Genomic DNA, 23,211 nt, shown 5'->3' on the forward strand with positions numbered 1-23,211 from the left:
TTAAATTTGTCAATGGTTTCTTCCATATGACACTAAAAGCATGAATAATAAAACATAGATAAATTGGTGTATTAGGGTTCTCTCGAGAAAAAGAAAAAATAGGAGACATAGAAGTATATGCAGAAAGAGAGCCACTATGAAGGACTAACTCATGCGGTTATGGAGGCTGAAAAGTCCCATGCTCTGCCATCTATAAACTGGAAGCCTGGGAAAGCTGGTGGTCCAGTTCCAGTACACGTCCAAATACCTGAGAACCAGGAAGTCAATAGTGTAAATCCCAGTCCTAGTCCAGAGTCCTGAGAACCAACTGCACTGATATTCAAGGGCAGGAGAAGCAAGGAGAGCAAATTTTCCTTTCCTTTGTCTTCTTGTTCTATTCTGGCCCTCAGTAGATTGGATGATTCCCACCTACATTGGTGAGGGCAAACTTATTTACTCAAAAGATAATCTTTTATGAAAACATCCTCAGAGACACACCCAGAAATAATGCCAGTTATCTGGGCATCCCTTAACCCACTCAAGCTGACACATAAAAATAATCATCATAATTGGCCTTTATCAAAATTAAAAATGTTTCTGCTTCAAAGGGCACTATCAAGAAAGTTAAAAGACAACCCACAGAATGAGATAAAGTATTTGAAATTTATATATCCAATAAGGAACTTGTGTCTAGAATATATAAGGACTTCTACAACTCAGTCATAAAAAGACCACCAAATTTAAAAATAGGCAAGAGATTCAAATAGGGATTTCTCAAAAGACATAGAAATGACCAATGAGGCCATTAAAAAGGCTCAACATCATTTGTCATCAGGAAAACACACATCAAAACCACAATGAGTTACCACTTCATACCCATTAGGATGGCTATAATCAAAAAGAGATGTAATAAGTAATATTGGCAAGGATATAGAGAAATCAGAACCCTCATAAACTACTGGTGGGGATTAAAAAAAATGATGCAGTGATTTTGGAAAACATTCTGGCACTTCCTCAGAAAGTTAAACATAAAATTGTAATTTGATCCAGCAATTCCATTCCTAGCTATATACCTAAGAGTAATAAAGACATATATCCACACAAACACTTGTACACGAGTGCTCATAGCGTCATCATTCATAATAGCCAAGAGGTAGAAACAACTCAAATGTTCATGAACTGACAAATAGATAAACAAAATGTAAATGTGGTATATGCATAGAATAGAATATTATTCAGTCATTAAAAGAAAGGAGACTTTGTCACATGCTACAACATGTTTGAGTCTTGACAACATCATGCTGAGTGAAAGAAGCCAGGTATAGAGGACCACATATTATATGACTACATTTATATGTAATGTTCAGAAAAGGCAAATCCATAGAGACATAAAGTAGATTAGTGGTTGTGTAGTGGTAGATTAATGCTAGGGGAGGGAGCAGAGATGGATGTATTGGAGAGCAATTCGCGGGACATGATTTTTTTGGTGGGGGTGGTGGTGATGAAAATGTTCAAATTGGTTGTGTTGATGGCTGCACAGTTTACTCAACACATGTACATGAGTAGATTTAGAATACATGTGTAAAATTCAATAAAATTCACAGTACAGTTGTTCTGTGAATATATCAAAAAGTAATGAATTTTACAAATGACCTCTAAATGAGTACATTTTTATGACAGCTTGATTGAGATAATTTAGATACTATAAAATGGACTCATTTAGGATACATCTTATGGTATCTAAATACCATAAATATATAGTTTAGATACCATAAAATGTATCCTAAATGAGTATCTATCTCAATCAAGCTGTTATAAAAATAATTTTATTTGTCTTATTTTGATTTATAATACTTCCTGGCAAGATAAGTCAATATAAGTACACATTTGGTCAATAGCATTTTAAAAATGCTATAGCTTTGAGATGCTTACATATATTTTTTAAATTATTGGACATTGATTATGATGTAGATCTTTTCAAAAGATGGATGTATAAAAAGGTTTGCAATTTTTAGGTTATGGTGGATGAGAGTTTTAGTTGAATGCACTCATTTTTAAGTTGTGATAAAGTGTCTTATTATCACTGGTACTCAAATATTTAGACTCTTACATAATTAAGGTAAAAATTTGTACCTTAGAAATTGCTTATTTTCAGGAAAAATTGTTACATGGGAACACATACACACACACACATATGTTAGATGGGATTGTTCAATGGAAAAGATCTAGAACGGAGAAACCACACATGGGCGAGAAAGAGATTCTGGAGGAGAACAGCTCACAAGTTTCATGTGAGTACCCATGAACATGAACAAATGAGAGTTTCCTGCCATCCTGAGTGATTCCTATAAGTCTGACACACCTATGGCGTGATCATGGACTATTTCATGTCTTAAGTTACAAATGGATCTACAATAAACCTTAAAAGACCAATATTACGTATCAATGTTGGTCACATAAGACCCACAATGTAAGGATGTTTAAAGGCAACCTAAACCTGAAAGTAGTCTGCTCTTGACGCACAAAACCCAACACTCCCTTGAGAAAAACAAAGCCTAAACCCCATACCAAGAATGACAATGAGGTGCCAATATGGTACTGAACTCCAGAATTGGCTGAGGGTGAAGAGAGTGATACAAACAGCTCCTTGAAAGATTGGAAGCAGCCTGCTGACCTGGTCTCTTGTGTAATTTCACCAATGCAGCTTCAGAAAATCATTAGGAATGAAAGCCCCAGTTGTAGCATATGGTCAGTTGCCCTGACTGGGCACCTCTGGAGGTGATACAGGATGGGTGACAGCAGAACACCTCACCAGCTTCTAGATAGTGTGCGCAAATGGGGCTACCTCAATCAGGAGAGAATAAAGAGTTTAAGGTAGCTCTGAGGCTCAATTTTAAACCATGTGGCACAGTTATGAACTGCTGAGAAACAGCAGCAGCAAACAGATTAGGCATCTGTGAAGATGAAGGAGCTCCCTTTGAACAAAGGCTTCAGGCTGAGTTGAGTCTAAGTGGCCAACTCTCAGACACCTGTGGGTTTGGAAAACAGTGTTTGCAGCTATAAATCAAAGTTCTGGTTTTATGTGGACAAAGTGTGGGGATAAACCCTTTGTACTGGTCTTTTAAATTGTGCATGCACACATCGCTAGTATTGCCTCTTAACTAACAGACAACAGTAAATTCTGAGACTCTTTAAGCATTATTTTGATGCCTTCAATATTGCCCATAGGGTGTTACATTAATGAGTTGTTCAGATGTATGAAAAAATAAAAATATTAAGAGAATTTGGGAGAGGACCAACATAACATCTCTCCACCAGAAATTTGTATTAAATACTCTTTTGTAACTAGAGAGATTGTCTAATGAAAAAACAAATCGAGATATTGGACACTTCTCTTTGAAATGAGACCTCTTTGAAAATTGCTCTAAAAATGACAAAAACAATTATTTGACCATTATAGACCAGAAAGAAATAATACAGTTTTCAGACTCAGGTTAGCATTTTGTAAACAGAGTAAAACACATTTACATTCAAATTAAGTTCAAACATTTTTTTGTTTTCATTTCTACAAAGATTTACATTATATGAACTCTTTTATTGAAAAATTACTTGAGCTAACCAAAAAGTCAAGGTCAATGGAAAGAATAAGATGGGTTATCTGTGTAGGTTATAAAGTCCTATACAAAAATAATTCTGCAATCACTTTTCAGCCTTCCTTTCCCACTTAGTAGCTGGCTTCTTTTTTGAGGCAAGCACTTATCCAAGAATGATTGAATCAGTTAGAGGACAAGTCCTTAAAAAGATCCACCTTGCCCGATGATTTTAGAGGAGTCTGTCCTATTTTCCTTGCTGTCTTGTTTACTTGACCTTCTCAGTTACTAAATAAGAGTGGATTTAATGAAGAGAAGGCTTTTATTTATCATTCAAGTGCCAAGTTCCTTGTCAAGGGACAGATCTTTCTCTTAGGGAGGAATACTCAGGCAACTATCCTGAGAATTTGAAACTCAACTCTGTGATAGTCAAGATTTCCCAAGAGAAGTTATTCTTCCATATTATGGTGTTACTTTTTCTATGATGAATTTTACAAAGGCAAAGTGTATAAAAGAATCAGAGCACTTAATTATCCTTCAGGGAAAAAAAAAGCAGCCTTTTCCCTTTGTTAATTATCTCAGTTTTCAAATTAATTTCAACAATGAGCACTTGGTCTCATGAAGAAATTTTAAATAAAACTGGAAGAAAAATTTAACTAGAAATGTAAAAATGCTCACTACTAGGGTTAGTTATTGTAAAAGATAATTATTTGGGTGATAGCTTATACAGCAATTTGAAAGTTATGTTTTATTTCTGTTCAATGAATACATGTACATGATTTTAAAGACAAATGCACTATAGAATGTAATATAAAGAAATACCAGTACCCCAGTCTTGTATCTGGTTAGAAAGGATTTAGCTTTTAAAAATATACTCTCTTCCCCTCCCCCAGGTAATTGCATTCTCTTATCTCCCCGATACAGCTATGTCAAAAATTCTACAAAATTATTATTCACTCCTCAACCACATGACGTCCATGATTATATTTCCTTTTTTAGGTAAAGCTTCTTGAATTGTCTTCAGTTGATAATTGCCTCCGTTTAATTTTTGCTTTGGTTCTTAATGCCCTAGGGGTAGTTTGTCATTGCCAGAAATGTAACTCTCCCCTCAGTAGATTCAATGTTACAGGTAATACAGCCTTCACTTGTGGTGTGTGTGTGTGTGTGTGTGTGTGTGTGTGTGTGTTATTATTTTTTCTTAGAGATATAACTCCTGGAGCCTTCTGTCCATTTGCACCAATTGATAGTGGCTGTTCCTTTGGCTTACTACAAGCTGTCATCACTAGAATACCCTTCTTTCTGCTGTGTTAGACTTCTTGTGTTCTGAAACCCAGTTTTTTGCTTTCTTGGTTTCCTCCCTTATTTTCATTAAGTGCATCCTCCAGTAACTCCATAAGGTAAGGTGCCTAAAAGATAAACTTTTTGGAATATTGTTTGATTGATAGTTTTCCCAGATATAACATTCCATGTTATAAATAATATTTTTTTAACTTTGAGACATTTACTTCCTACATTACCAATCATGGGTTATTAGGTCATGATTATCAGAAGCTAAGTCTTATATCTGCTTAGGAAGATATAGCACTACTGAGTGACTATGGCATCCTACGGAGAACTTCAATATTCAGTAATACATTAAAAGCTCTTGGTTTTGCAGCTCCGCAAGCCCTCTTTGAAGTTATCTACATGTTAGAAATAATTTTTTCTCATAATTTTGAAGGTCTCCCACCACTATTTTCTAATTTCTACTGTTGTTTTTGGGATACTTCCTAATGTTGTTTTTATTCATGACTCTTTATATGTTACCCATAATTTTTCTTTCTGGGAGCTTTTTGCTTTTTCTTTTGCCTTAGTGTTGTGAAATTTCATAAAGACATGCTCTTTTAGGAAGATAAGAACTTTTATTTTGTTATTCTGAGCACTCAGTTTGGAAATTTGTGTTATTCCACTCTGAGGGATCTTCTTGAGATTTTTATGTAATCATTCCCTCCTTTCTGTTTTCACTCTTCTCTCTTTCTGGTGTTTTTAATTAGTATACTATTGGAAGTCCTGATCCTTTTTTCCTTGTATTTTGCATTCCTTTTTTCTTTGTATTTTGTATCTCTTTGTGAGTTTTTCTTCTCTCTGAAATATTTATTAAATCGTGGCTTTCAACTCTTCTGTTGAGTTTTGTTGTTTAAATTTTTTCATTCTGTTTTTATCTTCTAAGAATTCTGTATTGTCTGAATAATCCTTTTTAAATAGCATCCCTTCCTGCATGCCATTTCTTCTCTTACATCTCTGAGAATATTGAAGTTCTAAAAAGTTTTTTTTCTGCTCTATTTGCTGTCTTGGAGTTCTCCTTTTTTCTTTGTTTCAAATCAGTTTGTTCTTTTACGTTAGACTTTTCTAGTGATCACATTTAAAACAGACATAAAAACATGTTTATGAGTATGCCTTGTTAACTGCTGAGCTTCAATATAGGGTGACTGGTGGTGGCCCAGCTACTTTGTTTCAGGCCTTCATTTGTGTATTTTTGTAGGTCTTTTCCCATGGGCAGATCAGTTTTCTTAGTTTGTTGCTTTAGAGACATAAAATCCACCTGCTCCTTTCCTGGAAGCTGAGTGATGAAGGTTGCTGAATGTCTCAAGGTTCCGTATGTCAAAGTTCACATAACTTCCCTGTTTTTAATACAGCCCCTCATATTCGCCCTCAGCTATATGTCTTGTGAGCAACCTAACATCCTTTCAGGTTGAATTCTCCAGGGTGAACTTCCAGGCTTTAGCTGTATTGGGAAAGGATGATTGCAAGAGTGAAGCTCAATTCTCCCTTGAAAAATTTAACCAGTCCTTCAACTTATCCTTCTGTTTTCAGACACTGTCCCTCCCCTTTTAGAATAACTTATTTCTGCCATTTCCAGAGCATTTTGGAGGTCTTTCAGGTGAACATCAATTTGCTTCTCGTTAGCCTCCTCCACTTTATAATTAGATTGTAGTTTTCTCTAAGATTGGAAGTCAGTTATTGCTCATAATCTATCTTCCAGTGTTTAGATCTTGTTTTTATCTCTTTTATATTCTGTCTCTGTTCCTATTCTCCTTGTCTTCCTGGGTTTTCTTTCTTATGTCTTTTATTTTAAATGTAATTTAAAAGGCAGTGGAGACAGACTGCGTGTTCAATCGTCTTGTTAACTAGAAGTCCTGACATGTGGAAATAGTAGTGTACCTCTTGAAAAACCTAAGTATTGGGGAATTCTCTTCATTGAAAATGTGAAGAGAGTCTCATGCACCAAGTAGCATAATTTTGCATTAAGTTAGAGATTAAAGCAATATCATGGACAAGATTTATTTTTGAAAAGGTAATTTTCATATCAAATGACAGCCATGAAGAATCATAAAGACCTTGAAACTATGGTCAAGGTGTGGAAAATTTCAAGGATAGAGAAGAAGAGGTGTTTTTTTTTTGTTTCACACTATTTGTCTCAATATTCATATATCATGACAACCTCTTATTGTGCAGTTGTTATGAGTTTAATAAAATTTCCATCATGTTTGATATAAAGTATCATGGGCATGGCTGGTATATTATGCAGTTAGTCATTATGCTACCACTGTGGGTTAACCTCAGAAGGTCTAAAAAAGACTCAAATGTTGCTATATTATAGAAAATGCCCCCAAAATACCTTTCTTGGAGGAGTCTAAAAGCTAATGAGTTGGAAGTCTTTCTACTGAAATTCTCTTATAAGCAACGACAACAAACTAGTCAGCTGTGTTGATGCTTGTTGATGTTCTTCCTGTGCTCTGACTACATTATTGGGCATGGCTTGAGGTAAGGGCTTTTCCGGAGGTAGGTCAGCGTAGCACACCGCAGCACCCAGTAGATTTGTGGCTTCTGGGCCATCATCCTGGACTCCTGTGTTCCCAGTTTAGTTCCTCCACACTCTATTCCCTCTGAACTCAGATCAAAACCTCAGAATCTTTCTTTTGGTTGGCACCTATTAACAATGTATTGGGGTTGACTTGTAAGCTGATCCCTATTTGCCATTCTTTACCTGGAGGAAGGTGGAAACCTGAAGATGGTACAAAGTTTTTTTAAAAAAATTATCCTCAGAAATAAAGACAATACGAAGCTCTAAAGATTTTAGAAAATTGGGCGCTGTAGACTAAAGCTTGTTGCTATAAGAAAGTTTAAAGTTTTCTTAGATTTTATTTTAGTTTCCCAAAGATATAGCCAGTAGGATACTGAAAGTAAAAAAAGGCTATCATGAAACCTTCAGGGAGAGTTGAAAGGTGGGAACCTTCTGAGTCACAGTTCAAAGCCAGGCTGCTAGATACATATTCCCTAAAAGAGTGCATCAGGACAGTTGTACAGAGGGTCCTGGAATTTGCAACTACAAGAAAAGGGTCACTTAAGGGACCAACACGTCTAAGGAGACTCTCAATGGTCAAGATGAGGCATAAAAGTTCATACTAATTAGAGGATATATAAATGGATTCAACCAATTATTTGATCCAATTAAAATCAGCCGTATTAAATTCTTTTAAACATAGAAAAGTAACTTTTCATACTGATCTTAAGCAACCCAAATATCCACAAGTTCCATGAGTGTACACATGAAGTAATAGTAGTATTCATATTAGTATTAATAAGTATGGCTTCTGTTAAACCCCTGAAAGGGGACTTTAGCACTTTCTATCACCTGGAAATTTCCTTTTCTCTAAAAGCTGCTCATAGCAGGGTCTAGTCTTCCTGGATCTCCTGCTCTGCTTCTTTTTCTTTTTTGCATTTCTGTTTCTCGTAGTTAATAATTATTAAGTACTTGCTTTGCGTCAGATATTGTGATCAAAGCTTGGCAAGCACTATCTCAGTTAATCTTCATACTGAGCTTATGACACAGGAGCCATTCATTATTCTCCTTGGTGTATACGTGAGAGAACAGAAAGTCTGGAGTTGTTAAGCAATTGGCCACTCCACTAAAGTAGACTGGAGTGGAGCCTGAACTCACCAGTAGAGTTTTTCTAATGGCAAAGCCTGTGCTTTCTGTGACTACGATACAGAGGCCTGTTGATGAAGGCCTCTCCTCATGGTCATTGCTACAGGAAGGGATGGTCTTGGGGCTGTTCCCTCCCATCCTTGTCCAAGCATAGCTTTTTCTACTCCTGAGAGTCCTCAGACTGGCCTGACCTATAGTTAGATGGCAGGACCTCTGAGGCAACTATTCCTGTACCCTCAGACATCAGGCTCCAAAGTCTTTCATAAAAGCAGCTCTTAGTCTTCCTCTAATTCTTTCCTGTCTCCTTCCTATAAGCCCCAGGACTTAAAAAGAAACAAACAACCTGGCAAAAAAAAAAAGCTTTCCCTTTGCTGCCTCAGTCTAAAATTAATTCTGTAGTGAAAATAGACATCTAGCTCATAAGATCAGAAAACAGCAAGACCCTGAAATTCCATTTCGGACCCAGCTGGGGCGTTTTTCTCTTACAAGTGAAACTCTCTCCACGTGTGTCTTCCACACAGCGAAGTAATGGCAAACCCAGGGCAACAACCTGAACATTTAGATCCCATGGGACAAGTAAAACCACCAGGAGAAGGGGAATGAACTCCAAGAAACTAAATGTAAGTACTTTTTAGATGGATTTTTGATGGGTATTGGGTCAATTTTGCAGCAGTTTTATGGAGGAGCTGGGTAGAAATGTGTTGCACATTTGAAAAGGCAGAAAATTTCTACAAGGAAACATTTTATTCTCGTAATTATATCTTTTTCAGGTATTTCTAGAGTAAGTCTTTTTAGAATGGTGATGAAAGGCCCAATTAAAAAAAAAAAAACAAACAGTGATGCGGCAAGAACTTGGCCCCTCAGCTCCAGTGAGACCCCGTCGTACATGAACAGGGTCATGGCCACTCTGTTCCCACAGCAGAGACTGGTTGCCAAGGACAGGCTGAGATCTGCTCTATCTGCTCCTGTCCTGGGGCCACTTTGGTTCTAAAATCATTTTGTAGCTTTGGCTGAACACATAGGGGCTTCAGCCAAGTCTGTGAGTGTTGGGGGACTGGCAGGGAGAAGAATTGTTTAAAAAGTAGCCACCAAAACCTGTAAAACAATTGAAATAAGGGTAAAAGAACAAGAGTCAAGATATTGAAGAGAAGGATGTGGCCGGGTGTGGTGGCTCATACCTGTGATCTCAGCACTTTGGGAAGCTCACGCCTGTAATCTCAGCACTTTGGGAGGCCGAGGCGGGTGGATCACCTGAGGCCAAGAGTTCGAGACCAGCCTGGCCAACATGGTGAAACCCCGTCTCTACTAAAAATACAAAAATTAGCTGGGTGTGGTGGCAGGCACCTGTAATCCCAGCTACTCGGAAGCCTGAGGCAGGAGAATCAGCCGCAGGTTGCAGTGAGCCGAGATTGCGCCATGGTACTCCAGCTTGGGTGACAGAGCAAGACTTCGTCTCAAGAAAAAAATAAAAATAAAGAGAAAGATGTGTTAAAATGATAAATATTTGTATAAGAATATCCAAGTAAAGAGAAATTGATGCACCTGAGCACAAAATGTGGTTGTCAGATAAAGAGGTAGGACAAAAAGAGTTCATGATGACTTTAACAGCTTTTATTATTTAATAGAAGAAAGAGTATCAATTTATCAGGAAAGATCACCTGTTTCTTGTGACATAATTTTAAGTTCACAATTTCTTGTTACAATTATTTTACTTTATTCCTTTTTATTCCCAGTTGCTTTATTAAATCATGGAGATCAAGGATTATGTGTACTTTCTTTTTGTCTTCATATCTTTAGTAATAAACATAGTGTCCAGAAGAGATATTGATTAATAAGTGAATGAATAAATAATATAATAATGATCAGGCATAAATAACATATTTTCTAACATATTTAAAGACTTAATAGTCAATTGTACATCTGGGAAAGTATTTCTGTGAGGCACAAAATAATATAATCCAGGCTAAAGTTTTTAGATGCTCTGACTAATTATAATTTTGGACAGAGCTTAGAAATAGGGGAAATCATTATTAGTAAAGTCATCAGAAATCTTGATTTTCTTCAGGAGGTTTTTGTCAAGATTTGGATGGTCAGTAATTGAAGATGGAAATTATAAGTGAGTACTTAAAGTAGAGACAGCTTTTCTCTGTTTTTGACCGGAAAAACGATCCATAATAACTTAGATTCTAAGCACATAGAAAACAAGGCTGACTGTAATCCCAGCACTTTGGGAGGCCGAGGAGGGTGGATCATTTGAGGTCAGGAGTTCGAGACCAGCCTGGCCAACATGGTGAGTCAGGAGATTTCCCTGCAGATGGGTTTGTGGTTTCAGTAACTTCGAAGAGTGAAGCTGAGGACCTTCGCAGTGAGTGTTACAGCTCAGAAAGAGTCCACAGACCAGGAGAGTGAGCAGCAGCGCAGTTTATTGAACAAAGTGAAAGGAAAACGTCCATGTGGTGGAAGGGGACCTGGAAGAGCTGCCATTGCTGGCTCGGGTGGCTAGGGCTTATACCCCTGTGCTATCCCCTCCCCTTTCTTTTTTTTTTGTCCATTGAGAGTGGTTCTTTTTTCAGTCCTCCCTTGGAGTGGTTACTTTTGAATCCTTCACTCAATTGGTTAAGAACTCAAAACGCTGAGTCACAGGGGTCTTTTGCCAAAGTCCCTGAACTGGCCCAGGAAGTCCCGCCAACTTCACCCCTCAATGGTGAGACCCTGTCTGTACTAAAAATACAAAAATTAGCTGGGCATGGTGGTGCATGCCTTTACCTCCAGATAATCGAGAATCTGAGGCATGAGAATTGCTTGAACCTGGGAGTAGAGGTGGCAGTGAGCCAAGATCACACCGCTGCACCCCAGCTTGGGCAACAGAGTGAGACTTTGTCTCTAAAAAAAACAAAACAAACAACAACAACAACAAAAAAAAAGGGTGACATTTTTGTACTTTTAAAAAATCTTAAAATTTAAAAATCTTCAAAATCAAATTTTTGCCCATATGGAAGACCATACCAAATTGGTTATACTATCACAGGATATTTGGAGGTAGAATCAAACCCAAATATTGTAAAATAATTTTAGTTCTGTTTACATGCTAATGAAAGCCTTGGAGTTCTGCAATGCAAAATACATAACTACTGTTAGTAGATTAAAAAATGGGGTCAAGATTATTGACTTTGGAAACAGATAACTTGAGTTTAAGGCCTTGCTTCACACAGCTTCTACCACTCCTGTGACCTTGTGCTAGTTAGAGATAGTAATACCTACTTCACCAGGCTGATATGAGGACAAACAGAATATCATGCTAAGCACTTAGCGTGGAGCGAGGCATTAGTAGGTATTCCATAGGTAGTCACTGCTATTTCTCTGTAAAAAATAAAAAGTAAAAAATAAAAAATAAAAAAAACAAAGAAAATGGTTAGAGAAAAATGTTGAGCTTGCCTGACCTTGGAGGGTCAAGGTTATGATGTTAAAATACAAAGAATCTGTAGAATATGTTTTTAAAGTACAAATCAAATATTAATAGATAATAGTAATATAGATAATAAATAATCCAAATAATAGTTTTGAATTTCAAATATGTAATATATTAATTGAACTGTTCTCACTCAGGACATCTTATCTGCATAATAGAATGTGTGTGTTTCCCATCTGCTCCTGTCTGGGAGGCAGAGATCCAGTGGCCTAAAAGCTATACCATATTACTTAGGTGTAGATTAAAAAGCTAAAGGAATAAGGAATATCCTGTCTTGATGACATTTAAAATGTGAATTTGCTCCTTCAAAAGGTCATTACTGTCCATTGTTTCTCAAAGTGGTGTGATAGAAATTTAAAGGAGTGTCCAGAGCATGCCTGATGTAACACCCTGATTCATAGGTTTGGCTTTTCTTTTATATTAAGGCCAAAATGTTTCCTATGGGACTATACATCTCTGAAATGACAGTGCAAGGCTTCTGGAGAGTGATTCCACACACGGTAAATACTGCTTTTGCTTTACTGGTGCTCAGGCAGGTTTGTAAGACTTGGAGAGGTGGTAAGTCCAGGACCCACAGTGCTGGCCTGCATTCCAGGTGGGTCAGAACATATAGGAAGGCTGGTTTGTGGTTTTCCTCCATGCTGTAGACAGTGGGTGCCTAGCTAAAACTCCTTGGTTTAACTTCTTTTACAGTTCTTCATGTTTCCTATTTAGGGAAGACACTGTTCACAAACAGACTCACTCTGACCCCTGAGATAGAAGGGACCAGGATAGAGAGCAAAGGAGGAAGGGAGTCAAGGGCTGGGAAGAGTAAAGGCTAAGAGATAGATCTGGAGAAGATGTTGATGACCGCTTAGCAACAAACTGTTTTGATAAGATATCATTTGTTTGAAATTCTAGGCAAGTCATCACTAAGTTTTACTGGTTGTATTTGTCCATTTTACAACCCTATTTTGATACATACTGAGCTAGTGTGTCATTCATTGTTCATTCAATCAGAAGAAAAGAACCACTTTATCAAGGGCTTTGTTGCTGGGGTCTGATCTTTTGCAACTTTGCAGCTGGTTAAACTGTCTCTGTGAGACTGTTGCCCTCACATCAGCTGCTGGAATTTACAGTCTACAGGCTGTGAATCAGGAAGGATACTATAACTAAAATAGAGCTCACCTGATCACTTACACAAGCTTCCGTGCTAATGTGGCAACATTATGTAAAATAATCGACATCCATGTGGCTCAGAATATATTTATATTTTCAGATTATCAACACAGTTTTTTTAATTAAACAAATTTAAACTACTAAGAGTTAGCTTGAAATCCTTAGCGACTTGTGAACCTCCAGTTTAAGAAACCCCCAGTTAAGAAACATTGTTATAAATGGAAAAAGAGTCAGACAGACTGGATTCAAATCCTGTCTCAACTCCTTATTAGTTGTGATCTGACATGTTCTTAAAATCTCTATGTCTCTGTTTCCTCATAAAAAAATAGATAGTAATGCACATATATAATTCATTGGTTCGAAAAATTCAATGACGAATTCACTAATTCAGTAAATACTTATTGAGAATTTACAATGTGCCAAGACTGCTTCTAGGCCATGGACATATACCAATGAACAAAAGGGGGTAAAAGTCCAGTAAGTGAAGACAGACAAAGTACATATATACATACATAATGTCAGGTGGTGATATGGACTAGGAAGAAAAAAAGCAGGGCCAGGAGACAGGATGGATGGCAAGGTGGTATTTTATAAATGGCAGGTAAGGAGGCTGTGTCAGCTATCAATGGCTGAGTAAAAAATTACCCCAGAAATTATTAGCTTAAAAAATACATATTAATTATCTCACAGTTCCTGTGGATCAAGAATCTGGACAATGATTAGCTTCAGGATGTCTCATAAGGTTGCAATCAAGGAGTTGGCAAGGGCTGAGGTCTTATCTGAAGGCCTGACTGGGGAAAGCTCCACTTACAAGCTCTCTTATGTGGTGGTTGACTAGATTTGATGCCTTGAGAGCTGTTAGACTGAGGGCCTCAGGCCTGTGCTGACTGTTGGCCGGAGGCTGCATTCTGCTTCTTGCCACATGGGCCTCTCCAACATGGCAGCTTATCTCATCAAAGCTTGCAAGAGAGACACCCTGACACAAGGCAGAAGTAACAATCTTTATAACCAAATTATTTATGTGGCAACACCCCAGTGTTGCTAGCTGCTATTGGTTAAAAGTAAATTATTCCAGGAGAGGAAATTATGAATACCAAGAAGTGGGACTCTGTAGACATGATCCTAGAGGCTGCTTGCCACAGAGGGCCTCCCTATAGAGAAAATATTTATATCTCTCTTAAATGAATACCAAATTAATTGGAAGAGTAAAGCTTATGTATAGCTCAGGGAAGAGTTTTCTGTGGAAGAGGAAATAGTAAGTGCAAAGAATTGGAGGTGAGAGTGTCCTTGATGTGTCCAAGGGTCAGGATGAAAACCAGAGTTGCTGAAGAAGCAGGGGAGAAGCAAAGGGTGAAAGAAGTTCAAGAAGTTAGAAAGGCTGATTCATGCAGGGTCTTGAAAGTCATGGGAAAATGTTTGGATGAGATTCTTAATTTATTTTGAATGAGATTAGAAGTCATTAGAAGACCTGAAGGAGTGGAGTCACAGAGAGTATTTGTCTCTGAAAAGGGTCTGGCTGCTGTGGGGATGGAGGTGGGAAAATAAAAGTAAAATAAGGGACACCCAGTGACAGCCTGAGGCAGTGGTCCTGGTGAGTGATGAGGGTTGTTTGCAGGATGGTGGTAACAGTCACTGGAAAATAGAAAGCATTCAATCAATGTCAGTCATAATATTATTATTGCCTTTGTTTCTTAGATCCACGAATCTCAAATAATTATACATGTGAGTATTGCCTGAGTAATTTGTTTTAAATATAGATATGAGGCTCTCCCTCCAGGGCAGTGGCTTAGTATGTTTTGAGGGCAGGGTGGTATAACATAAATCTGCATTTTAAAGACTTAATTGATTATTCTGCTGTGGGTTATTCATGGCTATATGATAAGAAACATTACCTTTCTTATTATTTTTTACAAAACACAAAGTAAATGTGATATGAAGAATCCCCCTAACTGCCACATACACACTCACACAAACATTGGAATTCCTGAATTCATTATTTAGTGAAGTCTGACATGGTCTTGGGAACAAGGGTGATTCTGCTGTGAAGAATATAGGGACAGGGCAATAGAGCGGAGTACTTTCCCAACAGTCATTCCTATACTCAAGTTCCCATGAGGAGAGAGCAGAGTGGTGGGGATATATTTCTTTTTTTTTTTTCTTTTCCTTTTTTCAAACCTAATTTCTCTAGGTAACTCTAAATTCAGGCCTATAGATAGATGTGTCTCTGTTTTAATCAAATTTCATGGGTGTCTTAAAAGGAAAGATGCTGCATAAATTATCAGTACACGTATTAGAAACTAAAGTTATGTTTCTCTCATGCAATCTTGACAATGGCAGCAGATTGTGTTTGACATGTCATTAATGATGCAAGAGTTAGAAAAATGATTTAGTTTTGTGAAAAACTAAGCATGTTACTTGCATAACTCATTTTTACTGATAAAATGTAAAGTCATGTTCAGTAAAGCCAGCGATCTTTGTGTATGGCTGTGTGTGTGTGTGTGTGTGTGTGCGCACGCATGCGTGTTTGGGGGCAGCCTTGGTTATTGAAATGATAGTATCTCACTTAGTTCAAGAACACATGATCCTTTAGAAATCGTGAGATTAGACATCATGTCTCCCTTTTTCTTAGTCCACCCCCTTTCCATATGTTATATTTACATTTTCCTTTGTAATTAAAAATATTATGGATAAGAAGTGTCTCTTACCTATTCCAGAATCCATGCCCCTTCATTAGAGCTAACCAATATTAACTCTTTGTATCCTTCTAGAAATTTTCCATGTATATGCCCAGATCCTTTTGTTTATCCAAATGAAACCATACTAAGTGTACTGTTCCATACCATACATTTTCTCTATATATTAGCTTTTTCTTTAAACAATTAAATCCATTTTTTATTTGAGTAATACAATACATTGTAAAAAGATTCAAACATCACAAAAGAGAAGACAGTGTAAAGTAAGTCTTCCTCCTAACCAGTTATCCTGATCCCCTCAGTTACTCTCCCCAGATAAAACTCTTTTCATTCATTTCTTGTGTATCATTCTAGAGATGGCCTATGCATATACAGGCATAGAGATGCATGTATCTATGTCATCCTTTGTGATGCTATACTGTGAAAATCATTTAGTACTTCTGGGCATCTAGATAGGAGACAAATTATTCATAAGCAAATATGAGGCACCTCTCTGCCTACCCTAAAGGAGAAATACTGCCTGTGGGTTTAGGGAAACTGAAGATCAAACAAAAACGCAAGCATATGAGCTCCCTAGACATATGCAAGAATGGGAGGAAAGTTTTTCATTTAGAAGGAGCTTGGCTTGAAGAAATAGAAATGAAGGGAGCTCTCTATGACCTTAGCCTGGGCCATAAACAGATTAAGATGCAGAAAACATTCTAACATTGAGATTCTACAGCAAAAATAGACTGGCATCCAGTAACTGGATATGAAGGTCTGGTCTCCTAAGCTGGCTCCATCTGACTTTGCCTGTCATTACCATTGATATGTGTTTGGTCTCCAAACAGCTGGATGGCAATTTTTCTAAATATAATAAAAACTTGACTGATCTTAAATGAAATAAAGACAATTTTATTACCACTTGTAAGATTCTTAGTGAAAAGAAGCAAATGGAGGTTCTTAATGTTGACATTGCTTCAAGAAATAGCCTTTAAAACCTTAGATGGTCAAAGTGAAGGCAAAAGGGGTGTGATGCTGCTACTCTCTAAGCCCAAATTCTGAGATTGCTAGTCTCAGTGGGAATATTCCTTGGATCCATCCATCCCTTTTCCTATTGTTCTTTCCTATTGTCTGTCATCAGAAACGACAAATATAGTGATACAAACTTGAGACGGAAATACTGGGTAGAAGCGGGCGGTTCCCTGGCAAAAGCCCCACCCTCAAGCTTGGAAACCTGCAACCCTAAATGGGAACAAGTGTTCCTGTTTTCGCACCCAAAAGTTGCCTTTTGGCCCACCACACCCTCTATCCTGTACCCATATGAACCTCAAACCCCAGTCTCCATGAGCAGATGAACAGAAGGGCAAAAGAGCAGCAGAACGGCATGGCACAGACGGAGAGGAGAGTCTGACATCAAGAGGAGTTCATCTGGGGATGGTTGGAGAGGATACCGGCCGCTGGATGGCCAAATTCCAGGAAAAGATCATCTTCCCACCCCATTTCCTTTCCAGCTTCCTACCCATCCCACTGAGAGCCACCTCCGTCACTCAGTTAAACCTCTGCATTCACTATCCTTCAAGTCTGTGTGTGACCTGATTCTTCCTGGTTGCCAGACACCAGACAAGAACTCGGTACTAAGAGGGCACTGAGCTGATTAACACTTAGATCATCTATAGATGGCAGAGCTAAAAGAGCTCTGTAGCATGCCCACTGGGGCTTTGGGAGTTGCAGGCACCCACCCCTAGATGCTACTTTGGGGCTGGAGCCCAAAACTGCTCACCCTGGCTCCTGCACTTGCCCATCTGTGTGCTCCTCTTCCCCTTAGGGGTCTGAGCAGCAGTGGCAGCCAAACAGACAAGCCACACCCCTGTTGCACATCCTGAAAGGGGGGTCACGGAACTCTTCCATTTCAATAGAGCTTTGAGGTCTTATTTATATACATCAGCAAATGCATTCTGTTGGAGAAGCTGATGTCCCAAAAGAATACTGTAAATGTCTTGAAATCTGAGAACTTACTTTCCAATTGCAATGAGTTACCTGGTAATTGTAGGTAATAGTCACCAAAAAATCGGATTTGAAGATAACAAAGAGAAGTCCTTGCTGGAAGTGTGAGTTCTGATTGACTCCTGGATCAGAAAATTTTCCCACCAGGATTTTCTAAAGGGGCTATTGACTTACTTTCCTAATGTCTCAAACCAGCCCATAAATCATAGCAAAGAATATACACAGGCTTTATTTCTTAAGCCAAAGAGTGAGTGAGAAAGAAAGAGATAGAAAGGTTAAAATATTAGTTATTGATTTTTTGGCAGGCAAAATTAATAGTAGCTTCTCTTCCTCCATAGTTAAATCCATGTCCTAACTATAACCTCTCTTTTATTGAAAAGCCCAAGAAATGCATGAAGAATTTTGGGATTACTGCTTTGATTGAATCTGCTAAATAAAAATATTATTCTTCATGGGAGGTTGAATTGCTGTTTGGACTGCTGATGTGAAGTTTTCCATTTTGGCTGCTCCCTCTGGGAGAACTAGATCAGCCTTAGGCAAGCCTTCTCTCCTTAGGGAACCAGAGTTTCAGAAGCAAACCTGACTAGAATAGACAAACTGCAGCTGGTGAAGCCCATGGACGCCTTGTGTGTTCTAGTACATGATTGAAATAAGACTCAATTACTTTTGACCCAATAGTCTTACCAGAAGTGATGTATAAATATGATACAATTTTCTTTCTACACATTTACATTAATTGGTACAGGGAAAATAAATTGACACACATTTAATTACTTCAAAGCCATTTTTATAATCATATTTGTTGTTTTGCTGTTTCTGTTATCTCTTTCAGAAAGTACATGAAAATGAGTTGGCATTTATGTGACGCAGTAGTTGGAAAGCAAGCTTGACACTGTTTACAGCAATAAACTGAAAAAGAGTGATTTATTTCCCAAAAGTCCTTCATATTCAGATCTTTTGGGTTCTATACATGCTCACTTGTTATACTCATTCTTCCCCAAGTCATTTCTGTCCATTCTCCATAAGTTAACCCAAGAAGATTTAGGTTCAATATAAAGATACATTGAGGCATCTGATAGACATTAGTCACCCTAGGGTGACTGAAGGATAAAGAGTTGGTGTCTGGAACCAAGCTGTGGGACAAAATAAAAGCCTGCGGAGCCACCCTTGGTAGCAGCATTCTTTCCCAGACCTTGACACTTAGCTACATTGCAAGAGTGAAATTCCTATTCTTAAGCAGTCTCAACCTTCCTTAGACACGAAGCAATGCAAAAGACACGGTCCTAGATCCCCACTGTCCTTGGTTGAGGAGGTTTGTGGGTAGCAACAGGTGGCTCAGGCTGCAGCTGAATGGACAGCTGGAGTGAGAACCCTGGAAATACCTAGGCTTGACTTCCCATAATGCAGCATTTTTGGGCAAAATGAGGAAGTTAGAGCTTCCTCTGTTTAGAAATGGTTTACTGAGGTCAGTGCCTGGCTGGGCTGATCATCTTTCCTTTAAGCAAAACTAAATTCATCTATTTCTGGTTGAAATGGGCTCAGCATTATCACCAGTTCATGCCTAACATTGTTGCAACCTTTGCTAATTTCATCTAATTCATAACTGCTTAGTGTATCTTCAAAGTAATTGATAGAACAAAATAATTTCTGGTAAAAAATGTCTCCAGCCGAGCATGGTGTCTCATGCCTATAATCCCAGCACTTTGGGAGGCCGAGGCGGGTGGATCACGAGGTCAAGAGACCGAGACCATCTTGGCTAACATGGTGAAACCCCGTCTCTACTAAAAATACAAAAAAATTAGCCGGGCGTGGTGGTGGGCACCTGTAGTCCCAGGTACTCTGGAGGCTGAGGCAGGAGAATAGCGTGAACCCAGGAGCCAGAGCTTGCAGAGAGCCAAGATCACACCACTGCACTCCAGCTGGGGTGTCAGAGCAAGACTCCATCTCTCAAAAAAAAAAAAACAACTCCATGTATTTATATTTTTGTCTTCTTGGAAGACTATTCGAATATATTTTCCTCTTTATTATGGGCTATCAGTTTTACTATTGCCAGGATATTTATTATACTGGTATTGATCATTTAATAAATTTCATTAACTCTATGTTATCTTAGAATGTATTGATACTCAGTTCACCTCATCCATAGCTATAATCTTTGCCTTTGTCTCTGCTTTATTTCAGATACAGACGATTGTATTGTCTTAATTCCCTTAAAAAGTTTATTCATAAAATTCTCATTCACTTACACATAAGATACTATGTACATATGCTTTCTGAAGGTTTTCTAAATGTGATGGTTGATATTGAGAAAATACAATTCTTGCATATCGTATAGGCTTTTTGTCAAATATAATAGGCCTTTGGAATTAGAGGTATCCTTAAAAGTATTGCCAGAGAATCAATAGCTTAGTGTAGTTTTAATTATGTATCTGTATCTTAAGCCTTATCTTTAATTCTTGAGCATGTGGTTGACTTATTTACATTATTATTTGCATTATTATTATTTTATATTTTAGAATAGGACATCATACATTGCTCTCACTGTCCCATCCACCTCACTTTCTTCCACTCCACTCCCAGGCCCCAAGAACTATCAACTGGTGAAATAAGAGGGGGTGGGAAAAGCCAGATGTGGTGGCTCTGCCTATAATCCCAGCACTTTGGGAGGCCGGGTAGGTGGATCACTTAAGGTCAGGAGTTCAAGACCAGCCTGGCTAACATAGTGAAATCCTGTCTCTACTAGAATAAAAAATTAGCTAGGCGTGGTGGCACGCACCTGTAATCCCAGCTACTCAGGAGGCTGAGGCAGGAGAATCGCCTGAACCCAGGAGGCAGAGGTTGCAATGAGCCGAGATTGTGCCACTGCACTCCAGCCTGGGTGACACAGCAAAACTCCATCCCAAAAAAAAAAAAAAAAAAAAAAAAAAAAAGAGGGCGTGGGGAATCTACCTACGCATCTACATTTCCTAGTGTCTTCAATTGTACCAAAGTGCCACCGGACCTTTCTGGCTGGACATTGTAATTGTTTCTGGGTCTTGTCATTTCTTCATCCAGTCACCATGTCCTGACGATTGTTTCTTTTAAATACCTCTGATGTCCTTCTTTCTCTCCATTCCTGCTGTCACTTCTTTGGTGGGAGGCCTATGCACCATATGTCTTAAATATTCTGACAGCTTCTTATTCATTTCTTCGTTGAACAGCATTTGCTGAATGCCTTCAAATCCCCAGACTGTGCCCTAGGGATACAAGAATGGAAAGATAACACATGCTCAGAAAGAGCTCTCAGTGTAGGGGAAGGCAAACAAGAAAACAGAAAAAGTGTTAAGAAAATTTGGTTAAGTGTAGAAACAAGTGCTTTGGCAACCCAGAGGAAGAAAGGATTCATTTCCTACCATTGAATTTATAGGTTTTATGCAAATGTAACACCTCAGGCAAGGAAAATTCTATCGTCCTGCCTCCTGACTCCTCTACCCACCTCTGCTCTTACAATGGATTTTCTAAAAGGCAATTTTGATCAGACCTCTCCTCAAAGGTAGCCCACAACTTTCCCATCACATACAGATTAATCTCCATTGTTATTTAACACCACCGTTTACATCAGTGATTCATATCTAGTCCGGAGCCCACTGCCTCCCTTCACTCCACTGCTATTATTCTCATCCAGTGCATAAAATGCACCACCTTCAATTGTTTACCCACTCTAGTAATCTCGTTTTCCAACTTGATGCTTCCTCCCTGGTTCAGCCTTTTATAACAAGTCTTTCTATTCTGTTGTAAACCCACCATTTCAACTCACACATCTTCACGTAATTCTCCCTTCGACTATTCTGCTTAAGTGAAATGTACCACTTTCTCTGAAGCCTCGTCTTTCTTGCAATCCCCTTGAGAAGGGGCTGCTCCCTCTCTCTTACCCTTGAGGTCCACAGCTCACATAGGAGCTAAGCCAGCAGGAGGGGGCTCAGCATTCTCTCTCATTCCTATTATCAGACCTGCACTCTTTTCCAAAATCTCTTCTTTCTTTATTTTTGAGGAGAATAGCAGCTATGTATAGCCTTCTCCTTTTTTCTCTCCCTCCTTCTCAGTCATGTTTTTCATCTCCCTTTTATGTATTTTGAGGACCTTACCTCTCACGGTTTCCACAGCATCACTTGCTGCATTAGGCAGGGTAGAGTTTAGATTGCTGTCAAAAAGAAAATTCCAAATGCCATGGCTTAAATAAGTTTGGAGTTTATTTCTGTCATATAAATATCTGAGCAGGTGGTCCACAGCCAGCATGAGGCCTGATAGAGTTGAGGATGTAATACAGTCTGACTTTATTTTGGATGTGGGACTGACTGCTGTTCTACCTCACCCCTCACTCTTTCCCTTTTACCATACATCTGGGCAAGCCAATAAGGAAGCCTCTGTGCTCCCTCCTTTGGAATCAGCAGGGAGTTCAATCCACACAAATGCTGGCCAGCTTGAGAACCCTCACCCCATGTCCTCATCACAGTGAAAACCAAAGCCATTCACTCTACCTTTTGCTGAAGCCATTTTGAACCTGCTTGGGTGCCTGTCCAGCTCTCAACAAAAAGCCTCAATGTGTGAATAATAAACCTTTTCAATGTGTGTAGGAGTGTGTGTGTGTGTGTGTGTGTGTGTGTGTGTGTGCACGTATCAGTCTTGATATCTGATTCAATTTTAGAAAGAGGGCTTCATTCCTACACTCTGCTGAGAAGCTACTAAACAATGACCTGGATGCTTTCCATCTTGCAATTTTGCCATTTTCAACAAGCAGTTTACATTAAATGACCCAAGATGACTGCTCCAGCTCCTGCCATCACATTCACATTCCAGACAATGGAAAAGAGGAGAAGAGAAGGGATGTGCACACAATTTCTCTTTCAGAGCATAACCAGTAAGTTGCGCACATTATTTCTTACTCATGTTCTGTTGGCCAGAATCTAGAAGCACAGACAACTATCAGGGAACTGAGAAATGTACTCTTTATCTGGGTACATTATTTGGATAGGCAAACCAAATAGTCTATAGCTATACAAGAAAGAGAGAATAGATGTTAAGGAATAAGGAGCAGTCTCTCCTACCCTTACTTCACAGTCTGATGGAGGAAAAATTACTTAGCTCGTCAAAACTAAAAAATAGTAAGACTTAGTGAGTCTTTAGGACCAAGATAAGACAAGAATGGAAGAATTAAGTTCATATTCCTAGCCTACTGACTTGATGTATCATAGGCACACCATACATAGTAACTTGCTATTATTATGAAGCAATACTAAAAATATTACTTCTATTAATAATAATATTTTCCTCAACCATAAATTCTGTTATCATCACAGAAAAACTTTCTGTACATAGTAGACTAGTAAT

At 38.5% G+C, this 23,211-nt stretch overlaps 1 non-coding gene across 1 annotated transcript, besides 1 other annotated feature; it reads right to left on the reverse strand.

The window, feature by feature from the left end:
* Nucleotides 1-5,125: 5,125 nt before the first annotated feature.
* LOC124900343 (small nucleolar RNA SNORA25) lies at nucleotides 5,126-5,253 on the reverse strand. Its single transcript, XR_007063954.1, has one exon. It is a non-coding gene; the product is annotated as a small nucleolar RNA SNORA25 (small nucleolar RNA).
* Nucleotides 20,995-21,777: an enhancer, noted in NCBI's record as "NANOG hESC enhancer chr13:34690717-34691499 (GRCh37/hg19 assembly coordinates)". NCBI's record gives its function as "activates a minimal SCP1, AML or CMV promoter by ChIP-STARR-seq in naive H9 embryonic stem cells {active_cell/tissue: H9 hESC(naive)}" and the evidence as "EXISTENCE:reporter gene assay evidence [ECO:0000049][PMID:30033119]".

The sequence above is a fragment of the Homo sapiens genome, chromosome 13 (genome assembly GCF_000001405.40).
Source record: "Homo sapiens chromosome 13, GRCh38.p14 Primary Assembly".
NCBI lineage: Eukaryota > Metazoa > Chordata > Mammalia > Primates > Hominidae > Homo > Homo sapiens.